The 17,281-nt window shown below is 40.5% G+C and overlaps 1 protein-coding gene across 55 annotated transcripts in view; it reads left to right on the top strand.

Annotated features, from left to right (window-relative positions):
- MBNL2 (muscleblind like splicing regulator 2) overlaps positions 1 to 17,281 on the top strand; it is a 252,287-nt gene that overhangs the window by 196,123 nt on the left and 38,883 nt on the right. For 48 of the 55 annotated variants that reach the window (NM_001382649.1, NM_001382675.1, NM_001382656.1 and 45 more), the window contains 2 exons: positions 5,060 to 5,260; positions 8,848 to 9,111. In NM_001382649.1, coding sequence (NP_001369578.1) covers positions 5,060 to 5,260; positions 8,848 to 9,111 — 465 coding nt within the window. The remainder of the gene's footprint in view (positions 1 to 5,059; positions 5,261 to 8,847; positions 9,112 to 17,281) is intronic. The other 7 variants (NM_001382677.1, NM_001382680.1, NM_001382694.1 and 4 more) reach the window with 1 other exon arrangement.

Genomic DNA, 17,281 nt, shown 5'->3' on the forward strand with positions numbered 1-17,281 from the left:
CATCAACCTTTTATCAAAATATCATAAAAGCATTTACTTCCTAATCTATCAATATCCACTCTTGCTTTACTCCATTATATCCCACAGACAACAACCAGAGGAATCTTTTTAAAACATAAATAGCATCCTGTCACTCCCTTATGTGCCCCTCCATGCTTTTCCATCTTACTGGGACAAAGCCGAAACTCTGACCTTGATCATGACCTATGGCTTCTGTGATCTGGTCACGACCCTGCCTACATTGCTGGGTGAACACACACAGCTCGTGTGTGTCCCAGCCTCTGCCTCTGCTGGCCTGTCCATGTCTTAGTGCTTTTCACACATTAACTCACCTCATTCATAAGGACTCCAGGTCCACCCCTGTAACCCACATGCAACCCCCAGCATTCTCTACCAGCGAGCCCTCCTCCTTCTTTGCTTATCCATACAAATGAACTGTAATTTTGTTTGTTTTCTTCTTTCTCATTAGGGCTTCAGTTCAATCAATGTACACAGTGTTCTGGCACCATGTCTGCACCAATAAATATTTATTAAGGGAATGAAAATTCAAGCCTTTCTCTCCCCTGACAACCCTTCTGTCTCAAATTCACAGTGTTTGAAAAGTCCCCTTCATTTATTCCTCCTAGCAGCTTTTCTCTCCCCAATTCCTGATAGAATAGGACAGGAATTCTTCCCTCCTTCCCTTCCCAGAGCGCGCACCGCCTTCATATGTGCACTCAAGATAAAGAAGCAAGTGTGAGCGACCTTTAGGAGGATGGAGGTGGAAGAACCACGAGGGACAAGTCTTGCATGAGTCTTGTGCCCTCCGGAGCTGCTTCTGGCAGTAGAGGGAGGAGGCTTAGGAGACGCCGTGTGTCAGCCTTTTAGCGTGAGTGCCAGGCACGTACCCTTTAAAGCAGACGCATTCTAAACGAGTGGGACGACGGCATTCTCGCCTACTGACTGCACTTTTGAGCCATGAAATACCTCGGGCCACTTGGCCATTACCCTTGGCTAAGCCCCCTTGCTGCTACAAAATAGCAAAGAATGTGCATGTTTGCGTGAGAGTGTGTTGAGTACGTAAGTATGAATGTGTAGTTAGTGTATATGTGCAAGTGTGTATATGTGTGCATGCAGGTGTGTAGTGAGTGTATATATGTGTGCTAGTGTGTATATGAGTGTGTTGTGTGTGAGTGTACGTGTGTTGAGTGTATGGGAGTGTGCTGTGAATGTGTATGAGTATGTATTGTGTATATGAGTGTGTTGTGTGTGTGAGTGTATGGGAGTGTGTTGTGAATGTGTATGAGTATGTGTTGTGTATATGAGTGTGTTGTGTGTGTGAGTGTGTGTGGGTGTGTTTGTCATCTTTGAACCTGGACCTGATGTCCTGGGAGGGAAAGCAGGGCATGGAAGACTGCGGAGAGGAACACGGGAAGGTGGAGTAGAGAACAGGGGCAGGAAATCGCAAGACCAGCATTTCAGAAGCGATTTTCTTCAAGAAGGCTTCCCGCGAATCTTGTCCTCTGGCCTTTTTAGCTGTGGCTTTGAGCTGAGAGATGACGTGGACCAAATGGATCCTGTCTCAGACAGCCTGGCAACAGCACTTCTGCAGAAACTGTAGGGCTAATTCTCCCAAGCTGTAGTTGGTGCGCTTCCAGGAACAGAATCATTGGAAGGTGCTGCCCTTCTCTTTTCTCAGCCGCCAGCTGAGAACCAAACTCAGACACCGGGATCCGTTGTTGGCCGAGATTCTACCTCGGGAGTTTAATTTGAATTCAGGATCTGAGAACCACTTTTCCAAGGCAGCAGGCCCCACACCTCACACCTCCTGTCTGTAGAAGGCCCAGGCTGGCTGTGGGTCGTGTTCCTGTGCAACTCTCCACCAAACGCTCTCTGCATTCTCTCCAGAAACATACGGGCAACTGATTTGTGTGTGGGCGGGGGGGGCGTTGTTTTTCCTCTTTTGTTTTAAGAAATAACCAACAAAATCTAGTAATCGCAGAAGAGTGGACATGGCCTCAGACTAGGAGCCAGGAGTCCCGGGTGTTCTGCCTTGACTTTGCCTTGCAGCATTGACCTTGGGTTATCCATTTAGTGGCTCTCCTCTAAATTGTTTTCACCTGGAAGGCTGAGCAATTCTTGCTGCCGCACTTGCTTCTCATGGATTTGAGAAGATTAAAGAAGACAAGTGTGAGAATGCCTTGAGAACTACCAGAACCTTTCACAGATGTAAAGCATTATTATCCACAATAATATTAACACGGAGTGAGCCTCTCTGCAAATCACCGTAACTGTATTTTTTAACTAATCAACTTCAATGAAAAACATGCTACATCAAAAAGGAACATATCCAACTGCGTCTGTCTTCGTAAGGCCTATGAACTTGCAACTTTCAGTTTCACGTGACAGAAAATATTTTTTTCAGTCCACATTTCAAAAGGAAAGGGAAATTTGTTGCTATATTTTTACTCACTTTTATACCCTTACTATACTGCTATGCTCATTACATCCCTGTTGCAGAACTGTTAGATAATTTGAGGCCAAAAAAACCTTGATGGACATTGATTTTTACAGTATTAATGAGAGCTGCTTTTTACTGAGTTCTGACCATGGGAAATGGGAGTGCAATAGCGCCTTGTTCTGCCCAACCCTTTCAGCTAAGTAGTTTCACTTACTCATTGCAGATAAGAAAATTAAAGCCCAGGGAGGTTAATTTCCTCCCCAGGTTAATGAGTAGTAAGTGTCAGAGTGCTAGGTTTGAATTCAGGCCTCTCTGAGTCTAAAATCTATGGTTTTACTTTAAAATATTACTATTTCTCTGTGAACTGTGTTATTGCCATCATCAATAAAACATACTGGGACATTGATTTTAGACTATGAAATCAGATGAACAAGTGACATATATTTTTGAAGACAAAAGTTACCTAATTGGAATAGATTTGTCGATATCCAAAATGGTTTTGGGAAATGAGTTTTGAGGTTCTCAATCCTATCGACAAAGCAAAGTACAACCCGTATTTATGGTACCACACTAACCCTAGCTTCAAATGATCTAGCATCAAATGATCTGTGGGCTGGGAGGGTTGAGAATTTGCTTCCAGAGAAAATAAAAATGGCAGTATGGGGGAGGGCTCTTTTATCTAAATGTTTACGTTGATAGTCTCTGGGTTAAATTACACATTTAGTGCAAGTTTTTTAATACTATTTTTACTCCTCACATATGACAATGCTCCCCAAATTTGGCCATGCATCAGATCATTTAGTAAAATTTCTAAAATTCAAGTATCAAGGTCTCAGCCTAGATCTACTGGGTCAGAATTTAATCACTATTTGTAAAATCTCCCCCAGGCATTTCTGACAGAGCTAGTCCACTGAATCACTGATGTGCTGTGATTTATGACCTTTCAGAATTGATTCTTTTTAAAAATCCTAACATTACATAGTCCGTAAACCATTTAAATCACTTGGCTTTTTCTCCAGTAGTACTAAATTATAAAAGCTACAGTTACTGAAAATCATAACTTTCTATAATTATGACTCAGTGAGTAACATACACATATAAACATTTGTTGACAGTAGAGGAAGAAAAAAATTCTAACTGCCATCTATTTCCCACATTCAGACCTCATATTGCAACTTTCTCCCAAAGTGGATTTTACGTCTGAGCCATAGAGATCTAACAGCATCTTGTGGGAGTACTGAGCCAGGACCCCTCTAAGACCATTAGAACCACCCCTTCTAGCCACTTTGAAAATAGGCTTTCCTGCCTGTCTGATAACTGCCTGCACAAACTATCAATAATTTACTCTTTTCTATAATGACTTTTCATAAGAGATATTTTTCTGTTACTGCTATAAAGAAAAAGTATGTTTATTAAACATAGGTTGTCATTTTTCCCATATGTTAAATAATCCATCCAGGGTCATAAATAGACAAGAAGAATGTCACCCACAATGTAGAAACAGAGAACAAGCATGACACAGCATAGTTCAATGTTAAAAGTGTGACAAGCAACAGTTAAGTTCAGTGTTAAAAGACTGCATTAATATGTAATTGCAAATTGAAATCAAATAGGTTAAAAATCATCTATAATTAACAACCAACCAAACAAATGAAAAGAAGCATTCAGGTCCAATTTGGTGTACAATTTATTCTAAGAAAAATCTTTAGAATTTTAAATTACTTAACAAGGTTTGTTCTCTTAAATGTACATTATTTACTTTCTAAAAGGCAGAATTATTTACATATTATTAGGTGGAGCTTTTAAAAATAATCATCACCTCAACCCACTAGCATATTTCTTCTTATTCCTAGATGAGGAATATAGGGACAGAGAACAAATTTAATAAGATTCTGTATGCTCTTGTCACTGCTGTGTTGATTTTGTGACCTAGGAAACCAAACCAACTTTTAATGGCCAATCACAATATTGTTTGATTAAAAAGCTCTTCCAGAAAACCTTTCAGGAAGGGAAGACTGACTGGATCTAGATGTAGTTGAACTACAGCAAAAAATCGTAGGTTTATTTGAAAACTACATTTGAATTTTGGGAATATACATGCTAGTGATGGAATACGGAAACATACTGGTGAGTCTGGACAAAATAAAATTCCAAGTAACCCCACTGTTTGAGAATGCATAGACTTGGCCAACTTGAAAATCAGGCTGTAATCAAAGGGTTTTGTGACTCCTCTCCCTTTGAGAAACATGTAGAATAAATCAAAGATTATTAGTCAGTATTCTATAGCTTTTACTACCTTAGTGTTATAACATTTAATAGTTTGGAATGTTGAGTAATTAGAGTTGAAATTATTTTCTTTTGTTGAGAACACTTTCATAGGGACAAAAGCTTAATCTAGTTCCTGTAACTAGAGGTTTTTTATGATGTTCTCTCATATTTCTGTATGGTTTGGGGAAGAGAGGGTCTACATGGATGTCATTTTTATTATAGGTCAGCATTGAGCTATACAATTAACACAGAGTATATGATGAATACATTTTGCTCAAATGACATTTGCTGGTAATTTTTTAAAGTTTTATTCTAAATAACTCTTTCTCCTGTGTTGTCTTCCTTTAACAGCCCACTTTCCCTGTAGGTCCCGCGATAGGGACAAATACGGCTATTAGCTTTGCTCCTTACCTAGCACCTGTAACCCCTGGAGTTGGGTTGGTCCCAACGGAAATTCTGCCCACCACGCCTGTTATTGTTCCCGGAAGTCCACCGGTCACTGTCCCGGGCTCAACTGCAACTCAGAAACTTCTCAGGACTGACAAACTGGAGGTACTTCAATTCTACTTGTGTTTTGACATGCATTTGTGGTAGAAATATACTTCTGTGTAAGTGATTGCTTGTAAGATATTAATTCAGTCTTGCAAAACAGCCATGTAAACACACACACACAAACTCACCTAAAACCCATGTATTCATAACTCTGTGGTTTGAAGTTAAGGCCAAGTATAAAGGAAATTAGTCTATGGAAAAGACTAGTTTTAACACAAAAATCAGCTGCATGGAATATGCGTTTAAGGGAAAAATATTAAACAATCAATGGAACAGTGACTCAATCATGATGCAGCCCATAGAGATGGCTCCAGGTCCTGAAGGCCTCCTCATGTCAAGGTGTAATCCTTGCAAGACCCTGGAAAGTTCTGGAAACTGGTGGATCAGGAGCCCAGCAACCAGGGCAGCCGAGGACACTCAGGGACACTGGTGGGAGTAAGTGGGACTACAACTATTTACCAATTGGTATGATCATATTTCAATGTCTCAAGAACAAGCATGGCTGCTCTAGTGTGTTCTGGCATATTAGTTCTGATTGTGTTGTTGCTAAACAGGGGAAATTGGAGGATGAGTAAATTTAGTTTTTTGTTTTGTTTGGTTTGGTTTTGAGACGTAGTTTCGCTCTTGTTGCCCAGGCTGGAGTGCAATGGTGCAATCTTGGCTCACCACAACCTCCTCTGCCCGGGTTCAAGTGATTCTCCTGCCTCAGCCTCCCAAGTAGCTGGGATTATAGGCATGCGCCACCACGCCTGGCCAATTTTGTATTTTTAGTAGAGACAGGGTTTCTCCATGTTGGTCAGGCTGGTCTCGAACTCCCAACCTCAGGTGATCCGCCAGCCTCGGCCTCCCAAAGTGCTGGGATTACAGGCGTGAGCCACCGCGCCCAGCCCGTAAATTTAGTTATTAATTGAGATATTTTCTTTAACTTCAATTGTTCTATAACATTCAAGAAAACAAGTTCCTATATATAAAAAACATCGTTCTTAAGTTATGAATCAAACCAAACCTCCTGTACTTTGTTGGGTAAAATTTCTCTTTAATCAGAGCTGTAGAACTCATCTATGTATCTTACTGCTATATCCCTATGATATTCACTACAGCATTTCATAAGGGTGTATAAAGATTCTCATAGATTTTTCAGAGAGCTCCTTTAATTCCATTACTGATTAAAGGTGTTAGGTGATGCATCTGGTTAGGACGTACACAGTGCTTTCTGTTAGTGGGATTATTAGAGAATGTTCTTTCAATGTGCATTTGTTTAAATATTAACCCAATAAACCTTGAAGGCAATAAAATGTGGCTGCCTAATAACCTGTGCAAGTTTTAAAACTCAGAATTTCAAACTGCAAATATTTTAGAAGATATTTATTTTTTCACTTAGTTTCAATCTGGATGCCCAGATGAAGAGAATGGAAACTCTAATTGTTACTATTTTGAAAAGATCCAGCCTACCCTTGTCAATTACTGAATAGACCTTTCACAGGACTGGAAAAGTGTTTTGGGCTCCACCTGCTGGACCCACGGAGCTTTTGTGTTCAGTATGTGACTGTACTTTAGAAAACAAATTAAATCAGTGGAATTGGGAACAAATTGTCCTTCTCAACAGGGCTGGTAGACAAAGACATGTAAAAATGAATCACAATGATTTTAGCAGAGCGGCTTTTGGTTCATTTCAAACCAGGAATGAAGTCAGCTGCACACAAAGCACCTTGGTAGGAGCCTGATGGCTGGTCCACACCTATGATGCTATCAGACAGAAGTCATTCCATTGATGGAGGAAGGCTTGCTCAGAATCCGTGGGAACATCTTAGTGATTTATTTTGCGCATTTTATGAACTAAAGTTAGAATGTTGGCTAATATCCAAAGTAGGAGGAAACAATTAACAATCTGGTGATTTATGCTATCTACCTTCAAGCTGGCCTGGTCACTGGTCAGTGAAACAGTATTTCCTAAGTATGTCTGACTTCCACAATACTTGAATTTCATGTCAGGGGCCCTTCATATAACATCACTAATGATCAGCGTGATGATCATTTACATATCCACTTTGGAATTGGAGCCTAAAAATAAATAACTTACGATTCTACTCATAATTATTTCCTGCTAATATTTATGAGCAGAGAAGAATTATATAAGCAACATGCATATGTTATTTATGCTATTTTATGTTATCTATATGCAGGGCATAATTAAGAATACTCTTCAAATTCTAAAGAAATATTTTTTCATACAGTAAAATCTTGATCCACCAGAATTCTCAGGGGATAGAGAATCCTAGTTACTTGAGATTTCAGGATAATTTAGCATTAAAGAATTTTTAAAATAAACTATTTCCCTCCATTTTTCTTTCTCTATATCTCTTGCCGTATTTCTCTCCTTTTGTCTTTTTTTTCTTTTCTGTGCTGTCAAAAATAGTATAGTGACCTTAAAAATGAAAATTTTGGTGTCTTAGATATTGTTCTTCTGATTTATGATTATGTTATCTTTGTAGAGCAGGAGAGAAGGAGTGGGAAACAGGAGTGTTCAGATTCCCCCCACCCCACCCCACCCCACCCCCTTAGAGAGAGGAGGAACAAGTTTGTCGTCATTTTCTCTGATTCTTTTTGTACAGCTATGACCTGGTAGCTTGATATAGGTGAAATTATCCCTCCACACACACAAAAAAAAACCTATAGCATTGTCAGAATTGTCATACAAGTAGGTGATTGAAGATATAGAGAGAGGTAGATAGATTATAGGTGATTGACAGATTAAATAGATAGATTATAGGTAGGTAAGCAGGTATATAGATAGGTAGGTAACTAGATTAGATAGATGATTAATTAATTGATAGATTTTAGATAGATCAGTAGATGATAGATGATGGATGGCTGGATGGATAGATGATAGATGGATGAATGAATGGCTGGCTGGATGGACGGATAGATAGATGGTAGGTAGGTAGATAGATGATAGATAATATTAGGTTGGTGCAAAAGTAATTGCAGTTTTTACCATTAAAAATAATGATAGATTAACAGATAATAGATGGATGGATGGATGGATGGATGGATGGATAGATGGATGGGTGGATGGATAGATAGATGGATAATAGATAATAGAGGGATAGATTGATAGATGATAGATAATAGATGATGGATGAATGAACAGGTGGATAGATGATTGGATAGATTGATTGATGGTAGATGATAGATGAAGGAATGGATGCATGGATAAATAGATAGATGATAGATATATGGATGGATGGATAGACAGACAGACAGATCGATAGACAGCTGCATAATATGCTACCCAGGGACAATGGAGGCCTTGTTGCTTTTCCTTTGTTATTTTAGCTGAACTGCAGATTTCGTATTATTTTCTCAATATAGATTTTCACCCTAGAAAAGGCGGTAAAACAAAACTCAAATGACTGTGTCAGAGATTGTGGTTACCTGGGCTCCGCATAATCAATCTTTTCTTGTCAGTGGTACATGAGCCACCATTGAAAGCGAGGCAGCCTCCGCTCCTCCCGCGGTGGCCGGGGCCGCAGGGGCGCCTGGGCTCAGGCTTGCCTCTGCAGCGCGGCTCTTCTTCCCTGTCTTAGGTATGCAGGGAGTTCCAGCGAGGAAACTGTGCCCGGGGAGAGACCGACTGCCGCTTTGCACACCCCGCAGACAGCACCATGATCGACACAAGTGACAACACCGTAACCGTTTGTATGGATTACATAAAGGGGCGTTGCATGAGGGAGAAATGCAAATATTTTCACCCTCCTGCACACTTGCAGGCCAAAATCAAAGCTGCGCAGCACCAAGCCAACCAAGCTGCGGTGGCCGCCCAGGCAGCCGCGGCCGCGGCCACAGTCATGGTAAGTGCGGCCGCCCGCCGCCCCTGCACCCCGGCGCCTCTGCGGAGGCCGCTCCGGGCTGGGACTTGGATGTTCTTCCAAACACTCGGGAAACATGGAAGGCTGCTATTCCTGCTGCTCCGCTGCCTAAGTTTTGCTGTTGTTTTCCCCCTTTTTGTTTTGTTTTGTTTTCCCCTCCTGCCCCCCTTCAGCACAATAAGTAAATCCCTCAGGTGCAGGGAAAGTCCTGGGGTCCCTGAGCTCCGTTCCCCCTCCTAGGGTGGCGGAGATTGAGTGTGCTCACTTAGGGTCTTTTTAAGAGAGGCTCAGGGGCCTTGTAATGAACATGAAGGTGGGCACCGCTTCGGAGAGGGGAAAGAAAGGTGCATTTCTGCACCTGAGCACGAGGAGGCACCCAGCTCCTTGGAGCAGCCACGGAGGACATCTGTGGCCTAAGAGAAGCCCAGAGAGTGATTTGGCTTTTCGCTACTCCCATTTTCTCCTCTTCTTTCACTTATTACAAGGGCAATGCTGGTCAGATTCCCCATCTCAATGAGGTTTTATGCAGAATAGCAATGCATGAAACAGATGAAAGTGGAGCCATCCTGGCTGGTGCAGAAAGAAAAAAAGACCTGTGACCTAGGCTTGCTTCCCTGAGTCACCCTACTGTCATTAGAGACCAGCAGTACATCATCATTATCATCGCCTGGGAGCCTGCTCAGAATCTCGGAGAGCCTAACTGTCCCTTAGAGACCAGATGCACCATTATTAGGATCACCTAGAAGCCTGTGGAGCCTCCAGAATCCTCAGCCTCACCCCAGACCTCAGGGAATCAGAATTTAAGTTGTAAAACATCTCCCAGGTGTTTTGTATGCACATTAACATTTGAGAAGCACCTGCCTAGACATTGCTTATCAAACTTGGCTACATTTTGGAACAACCTGAAGGGTCTGACCTGACATCTGTCCCTTTCCCTGAAGTTTCTTATTTTCTTATTTAGTTGGTCTGGTGTGGTCTGGGCAGTGGGATTTTTTTTTTTTTTTTTTTTTTAAGACAAGGTCTCTGTCACCCAGGCTGGAGTGCAGTGGAATGATCATGGGTCACTGTAGCTTTAAACTCCTGGGCTCAAGTGATCCTCCCACCTCAGCCTCCTGAGTAGCTGGGAACATGCCCATCTAAGTTCTAATTTTTTTTGTAGAGACAGGGTCTCACCATGTTGTCCAGGCTAGTCTCAAAACTCCTGGGATCAAGCAATTCTCACACCTTTACCTCCCAATGTGTTGGGATTACAGGTGCGAGCTACCATACCTGGCGACAGTGGCAGTTTTTAAAAGCTCCCAGGTGATTCCAATGCATCGCAAAGCTTGAGAACTTCTGCATTAGGTTGCAGAAGTTTCTAATTAATTTGTTTTCATGTGAGCTCTCTGGCTTATCAGAAGTCTATGTTAATATGTGATAGGCACTATGCATTCATTCTTTCAAAAAATTTTATGAGACCATGCATCAGGCACTTGCTGGGTAGAATAAATAAATCAGTCAGGTTTCCTTGCCCTCAAGGAGTTTGGAGTTAGTAACTGAGAGCAATAACATGCTCCTCAGTGACATGATAGAAATAGTTAATCGGGTCCAGAGGGCATGAAGGACTCAGTGGCCAGTCCTCCCTCAAGAAGGAGAGCTATGACTGCAGAGATGAAAAGTACAGTTTGAAAACACTTTGTTCTAGTTAGCAGCCATCACCTCAGCCATCACCTCATACACTGATTACTGATTAAAATGGAAGGGTAGCTGTCACACAAACAAGTTCACAATTACTCAACATTGTTTGCGCAAATGTTTATTAAGGCATGGACCTGTGATCAGTGATAGGGATACAGCGAGAAAGGCACCATCTGCCCTGAGGTAATCACCACCAGGTGCGGAGTGTGTGGTTCTAGAGACCTTTCCAATTTGAGCTGCTTATTTCCATACACCTTGAGCACTGGCCTCGTCATCTAAATCACTGTTTTTGTTTTTGTTTAATCTCTGAGTCCTTTTCTTGTCCCTTTAGTGTCCTTTCCTCTCGTCCTTCTCATTCATATGTTATTGGACCTAATATTTTTTTATTTTGCTGAGTGTGAATTCCTATATATGTGGAGATGTATGTATCCACACAAGAGGGTCAATAAAATAGAGAAATTCTCCCTTTTTTTCTTCTAGTAAAAGAGTAGTTTCCGAAACTCATTATAATTGGGAATGGGAGGAGGAGAGTAAACTGATCACTTAAGGCTGATAAAAAAGGAATTCTTTCAGAGCACAAATGAGATCTTTTACACATTTTGCCAATGCGACATCCATTCTACTATCAACCTGGTGAGGATCTCATCCCATAGGAAGCAAATTTTTTTTTCATTGTAATCATTATTTTAGGCCAGCTCCAACTTATCCTAATTGGTGTGTTGATTGATGGGCACTAAGAACACATTTTTCCACAAAATTTGTTTATTTATTTGTTTTTTGAGACAGAGTCTTGCTCTGTCAGTCACCCAGGTTGGAGTGCAGTGGTGCGATCTTGGCTCACTGGAGCCTCCGCCTCCCAGGTTCAAGTGATTCTTATGCGCCAGCCTCCCGAGGAGCTGGGACCACAGGTGCATGCCACCATGTCTAGCTAATTTTATATTTTTAGTAGAGATGGACTCAGGAACGCCTGGGTTCAGAAACTTCAGAACCAACAGGTCACTCTCTTCTTTCCCCTGCCTGCTTCTCTTACTATGGCCACACCATTCTCTAAGGTCAGCTTCTCTACAAGACCCAGGACCAAGGCTTTGGACCTCTATAGGGATGTATTCTTACATCTTTTGACAAGAGAGAGAATGGTGTCTTTTATACCAGCTCTAATTAGGTATTGGGGCAGGGGAAGAAGTTAAAGGTCATTTTGGTGGCTGTCCCTGTGGTCAGTGACAGGATGCTGTGATTGACTCAGCCTGGGTCCCAGTGGCTATCCTTGGTCACTGAGGTATGGAATGAGGCCCTGATAATGGAAATATTAGTCCTTCAAGTAAAAGTTCAGTTCCAGACCACTGCAATGAAGCGAGTATCACAATAGAACAAATCACATGAATTTTTTGGTTTCCCAGTGCATATAAAAGTTATGTTTACACTACACTGTGGTCTATTAAATGTGCAAGAACATTATGTCTGAAGAATATATACACACCTTAATTTTAAAATGTTGCTTAAAAGATGCTAACCAATAGTCAGAGCTTTTAGTGAGTCGTATCTTTTTGCTGGTGGAAGGTCTTGCCTCGATGTTGATGGCTGGTGACTGATTAGGGTGGTGACTGGTGAAAGTTGTGATGGCTGTGGTAATTTCTTAAAAATACAATTTCTTAAAACACAATGAACATTGCCACATTGATTGACTCTTCCTTTTATGAAAGATTTCTCTGTAGCCTGCAATGTTATTTGATAGCATTTTGCTCAGAGTAGAACTTCTTTCAAAATGGGAGACAGTCCTCTAAAACCCTGCTGCTACTTTATCAACTAAGTTTATATAGTTTGCTAAATCCTTTGGTATCATTTCAACAATGTTCAGAGCATCTTAGCCAAGAGTAGAACCCATCTCAAGAAACTACTTTCTTTGCTGCTCCATAAAGCGACTCCTCAACCATTAAAGTTTTATCATGAAATTGCAGCAATTCAGTCACATCTTCAGGCTCGACTTCTATTAAGAATTCTAGTTCTCTTGCTATTTCCATTACATCTGGAGTTACTTACTTTTTCCATTTAAGTCTTGAACCCCTCAAAGTCATCCATGAGGATTGGAATTAACTTCTTCCAAACTCCTGTTCATGTTGATATTTTGATCTTCCATGAATCATGAATATTCTTAATGGCATCTAGAATGGTGAATCCTTTACAGGTTTTCAATTTACTTTGCCCAGCTTCATCAGAGGAATCACTATCTGTGGCAGCTACAGCCTTACAAAATGTATTTCTCGATTAATAAGACTTGATAGTTGAAATAACTCCTTGATCCATGGGCTGCAGAACAGCTGTTGTGTTAGCATGCATGAAAACAACATTAATCTCCTTGTACATCTCCACTGGAGCCCTTGGGTGATCAGGTGCATTGTCAATGAGCAGTAATATTTTGAAACAAATCTTTTTTTCTGAGCAGTAGGTCTCAACTGTGGGCTTAAAACATTCAGTAAACCATGTTGTAAATACATATACTGTCATCCAGGCTTTGTTGTTTCATTTCTAGAGCATAGGCAGAGTAGATTTAGCATAATTCATAAGGGCCCTAGAATTTTCAGAATGGTAAATGAGCATTGGCTTCAATTTAAATTCACCAGCTGCATTAGCTTCTAGCAAGAGTCAGCTGCTGTACTTTGAAGGTTTGAAGCTAGTCCTCCTCTGTAGCTCTGAAAGTCCTAGTTGACATCTTCCAATATCTGGCTTGTCTACGTTGACATCTGTTGTTTACTGTGGCCACCTTCATCAGTGATCTTAGCTAGATCTTCTGAATAACTTGCTGCTGCTTCTCCATCAGCCCTTGCTGCTCACCATGCTCTTTTATGTTATGGAGATGGCTTCTTTTCTTCAACCTTGTGAACCAATCTCTGCTAGCTTCCAACTTTTCTTTTGTAGCTTCCTGTCTCCTTTCAGCCTTCATAGAATTGAGGAGAGTCAGGACCTTGCTCTAAATTAGGTTTTCGGCCAGCGTGGTAGCTCATGCCTATAATCCCAGCACTTTGCGGGGCAGAGGTGGGTGGATCACTGGAAGCCAGGAGTTTGAGACCAGCCTGGCCAACATGGTGAAACCCCGTCTCTACTAAAAATACAAAAATTAGCTGGGCATGGTGGTGCACGCTATAATTCCAGCTACTCGAAGAGCTGAGGCATGAGAATCGCTTGAACCTTGGAAGGCAGAGGTTGCAGTAAACTGAGGTCATGCCACTGCACTCTAGCCTGGGTCACAGAGTGAGACTGTCTCAGAAAAATAAAAATATAAATAAATAAATAAATAAATAAATAATAAATAAATAAATAAGGTAGGCATTGGCTTAAGGGAATGCTGTGGCTGGTTAGATCTGTCCAGCCCAATAAAATTTTTCCCACACTGGCAATAAGGCTGTTTTGCTTTCTTATCATTTGTATGTTCACTGGAGTAGCACTTTTAATTTCCTTCAAGAACTTTCCCTTTGCAGTCACAACATGGATAACCTTGGCACAGGAAGCCTAGCTTTTAGCCTATCTTGGCTTTCGACATGCCTTCCTCACTAAGCTTAATCATTTCTAGCTTTTGATTTTAAGTAATAATCTGTGACTCTTTCTTTCACTTGAACACTTAGAGGCCATTTAAAGTTATTAATTGGCCTAATTTCAATATAATTTTGTCTCAGGGAATAGGGAGGCCTGAGGAAGGAGAGAGAGGGGTGATAGCCAGTGAGTGCAGCAGTCAGACCAGGCATGACGTTTATCGATTAAGTTTGTGGCATGGTTCATGGTGCCCCAAAACAATTAAAATAGTACATCAAACATCACTGATCACAAATCATCATGAGAGATATAATAACAATAAATTTTAAAATATTGTGAGAATTACCAAAATGTGACAAAGACACAAAGTTAGCACATGCTGTTGGAAAAATGACTCTGATAGACTCAACATAGGGTTGCCACAAACCTTCAATTTTAAAAAACTGAAGTATCTGCAAAGTACCATACAACAAAGTGCAATAAAACAACCTATGCCTGTACTTATTAACACAACATATCAAAGTACTAATAGTGACCTTAGGGCTGAGCCCTGATTTCATCTGCCTGTTTCCTCAATGGACCAGTTTTAACATCTGCAACCAATATATACTTCAGTCATTAAAGGAACAATACACCTAGTATATATCAGTGGTAGATGACCTGGGCTGATGGGGATAAGAGGGAAAATGGCCATTTACACAAACAGGTCATTTCCCTGCTGCATTTCTTCAAGTCAAAGCTGTACTCTTCTGTGTACCCTTCTACACATTTTCACATTACATTCATGGTTACATTCATCAAGCTGCATAAAGATTATTGCAGTGGATGCCAACAGTGTTAGTTACCATAGTTTCTTGGATTGTTACACTGTGCCCAAATTTGGAGTTCTGATAAGTCAGAGGATCTTGCAGCATTGTCAAAGACAACCCAAAGGAATGTAGTTTCAGAACAAAAGCCAGGTTCTTTCTGACAATGACATGAAAATTACTGAATCTGTCATGTGTTTTTAGTTGAAGTGAGAGGCTCATTTGAAACCAGCCTAGGTGCTGTTGGATAAAGTCAAAGTATTGCTACTCTAATAGCAAAATTACTCAGTACACAGAAGAAAAACTATTACTTTATTTCCTTATTTAAAAGGACAAACAGGAGTGATGAATAGAGTTAGAAGATATTAATATTCCATTCGCCTGACTTCCATATAGAAACCCCAAGCATTTCCAGGGTGAAATTTTTATTATTGTCTGGAGATTTCCTGCTTATTTTGATTCATTAGATCCTTAAAAGGAATGGAAAGCTTTGACTCCAGAATAAAAGACATTTATTTCCTTTGGAGTCTTATTCTTTTAAGTACTTCTTAAAACATAACCATCACCATCACCAGAATTTTTTAAACATGAGAATAAGACAGACAGAACTTTTCTTTGGTAGTGTTAACACAAAAGGTGTCTGATCTTCATACAAGCAATCTTTGCTCACATACATCAAAATGGAATGACACAAGGAAAGAACCATTTTGCAAAAGGAAACAAGACAAGCTGCCGTCAGCTAGATACGTTTCGATTGTTCAGGAAAGTCTGTACAGGAACTTTGATTGGCATCCTGCTTGTCTACCTTCTTTCCTACTTTAAAGTGGTAGCTCTGATCATTGTTGTCAGTGTTTTCTGACCCCTCAGATCTGGTCTTTGCCTATCATGTCTGATGTAGGCACTTGGTTCGATTACCTTGATTTGCAGGTGAATTGGTCCTCAATCCAAAAAAAAAAAAAAAAAGCCTAGCTGCCCATAGGACCTCTTCTGACTCATCACTCATGCACACCAAGCTGGAGAGGCCCAGAGAAGCAAAGCCTCAGAATGTTGGTGAGGCCAGTCAGATGGATTTCCAAGTGGCTGATACATAGTGAGGGCTCAATTACCTGTCTTGGTGCTTAAGGAGGATCTTAGGATACACTAGGCTTGGTGACCTGTGAGATCTGTTCTAAGCCTGAAGATCTTTCAATGTAGGTAAACATATGCAGCAGTCAAAATCACCAAAAACTGAGCATCTGTATATGAAAATGCTACATTATAACATGATTATTCATCCACATGGATTTTTAAAATACATTCTACACATACCTGCTTCACAATGCGAGATGAACAACATGTTAATATGCACACCCCGCCCTCCAAGACCTCAGTGTTTACTTTAAAAGGAGAGATCTGCCTCTAATAAAGAAAACTCCCACCACAGAGTGGTAGAAAGAGATACACGTCACTGTCCTGCTCACTCTAGAGATCTCAGTTTTTTTACATTCCTAGATTATTCTAAATTCTATGGAAATTAAGTTTCATCACACTAAGACAGGAAGAAGAAGAATATTAACCTTCCAGGTGACAATCCTAAAGGGAAATATTTATTATTTTTCATTGTACTTGGAGATTTCATTAAATGATTCTTTGTTAAGTCAAAATTTTGTTCATGAATATCAGCCTTTAGAGACATAATCGCTCATCTAGTTAACATGTCAGAAAAGATCAACCCATTAGTGGATTCATTCTGTAAATACTTAGGACTGCAAATGGGAAGGGGAAAAATTGAGTCCAGAAAGTTAAGGCCAAAATGATTTTGAGTTTAACGATCCAGTTCATGTTCTCAATGTGCTCTATGAGAATAGGCTTTGTAACCTTCTTTAGCTGATGCAGATTAATTGAAGCTCAAAAAACAAAACAAAAGAAAACCCTGCACTACTTAACAATGCAAAGCTGTGCAAGGATGGAAGATTCGAAACAAAAATGGCATTATGGAAGTTACATGATGTCAAAGTTACATGCAAGGAAAGAATATCCAGTACACAGATGTTTTGTCAGCTCATTGTTTTTAACGTTCACAATTGTACTTTCACAACATTGATTTCATGTTATTCGATGACTCCGATCAAAACTACCTTCCCAAACATTTTCTTCTCCATTGG

This window comes from Homo sapiens, chromosome 13 (genome assembly GCF_000001405.40).
Source record: "Homo sapiens chromosome 13, GRCh38.p14 Primary Assembly".
NCBI classification, from domain to species: domain Eukaryota; kingdom Metazoa; phylum Chordata; class Mammalia; order Primates; family Hominidae; genus Homo; species Homo sapiens.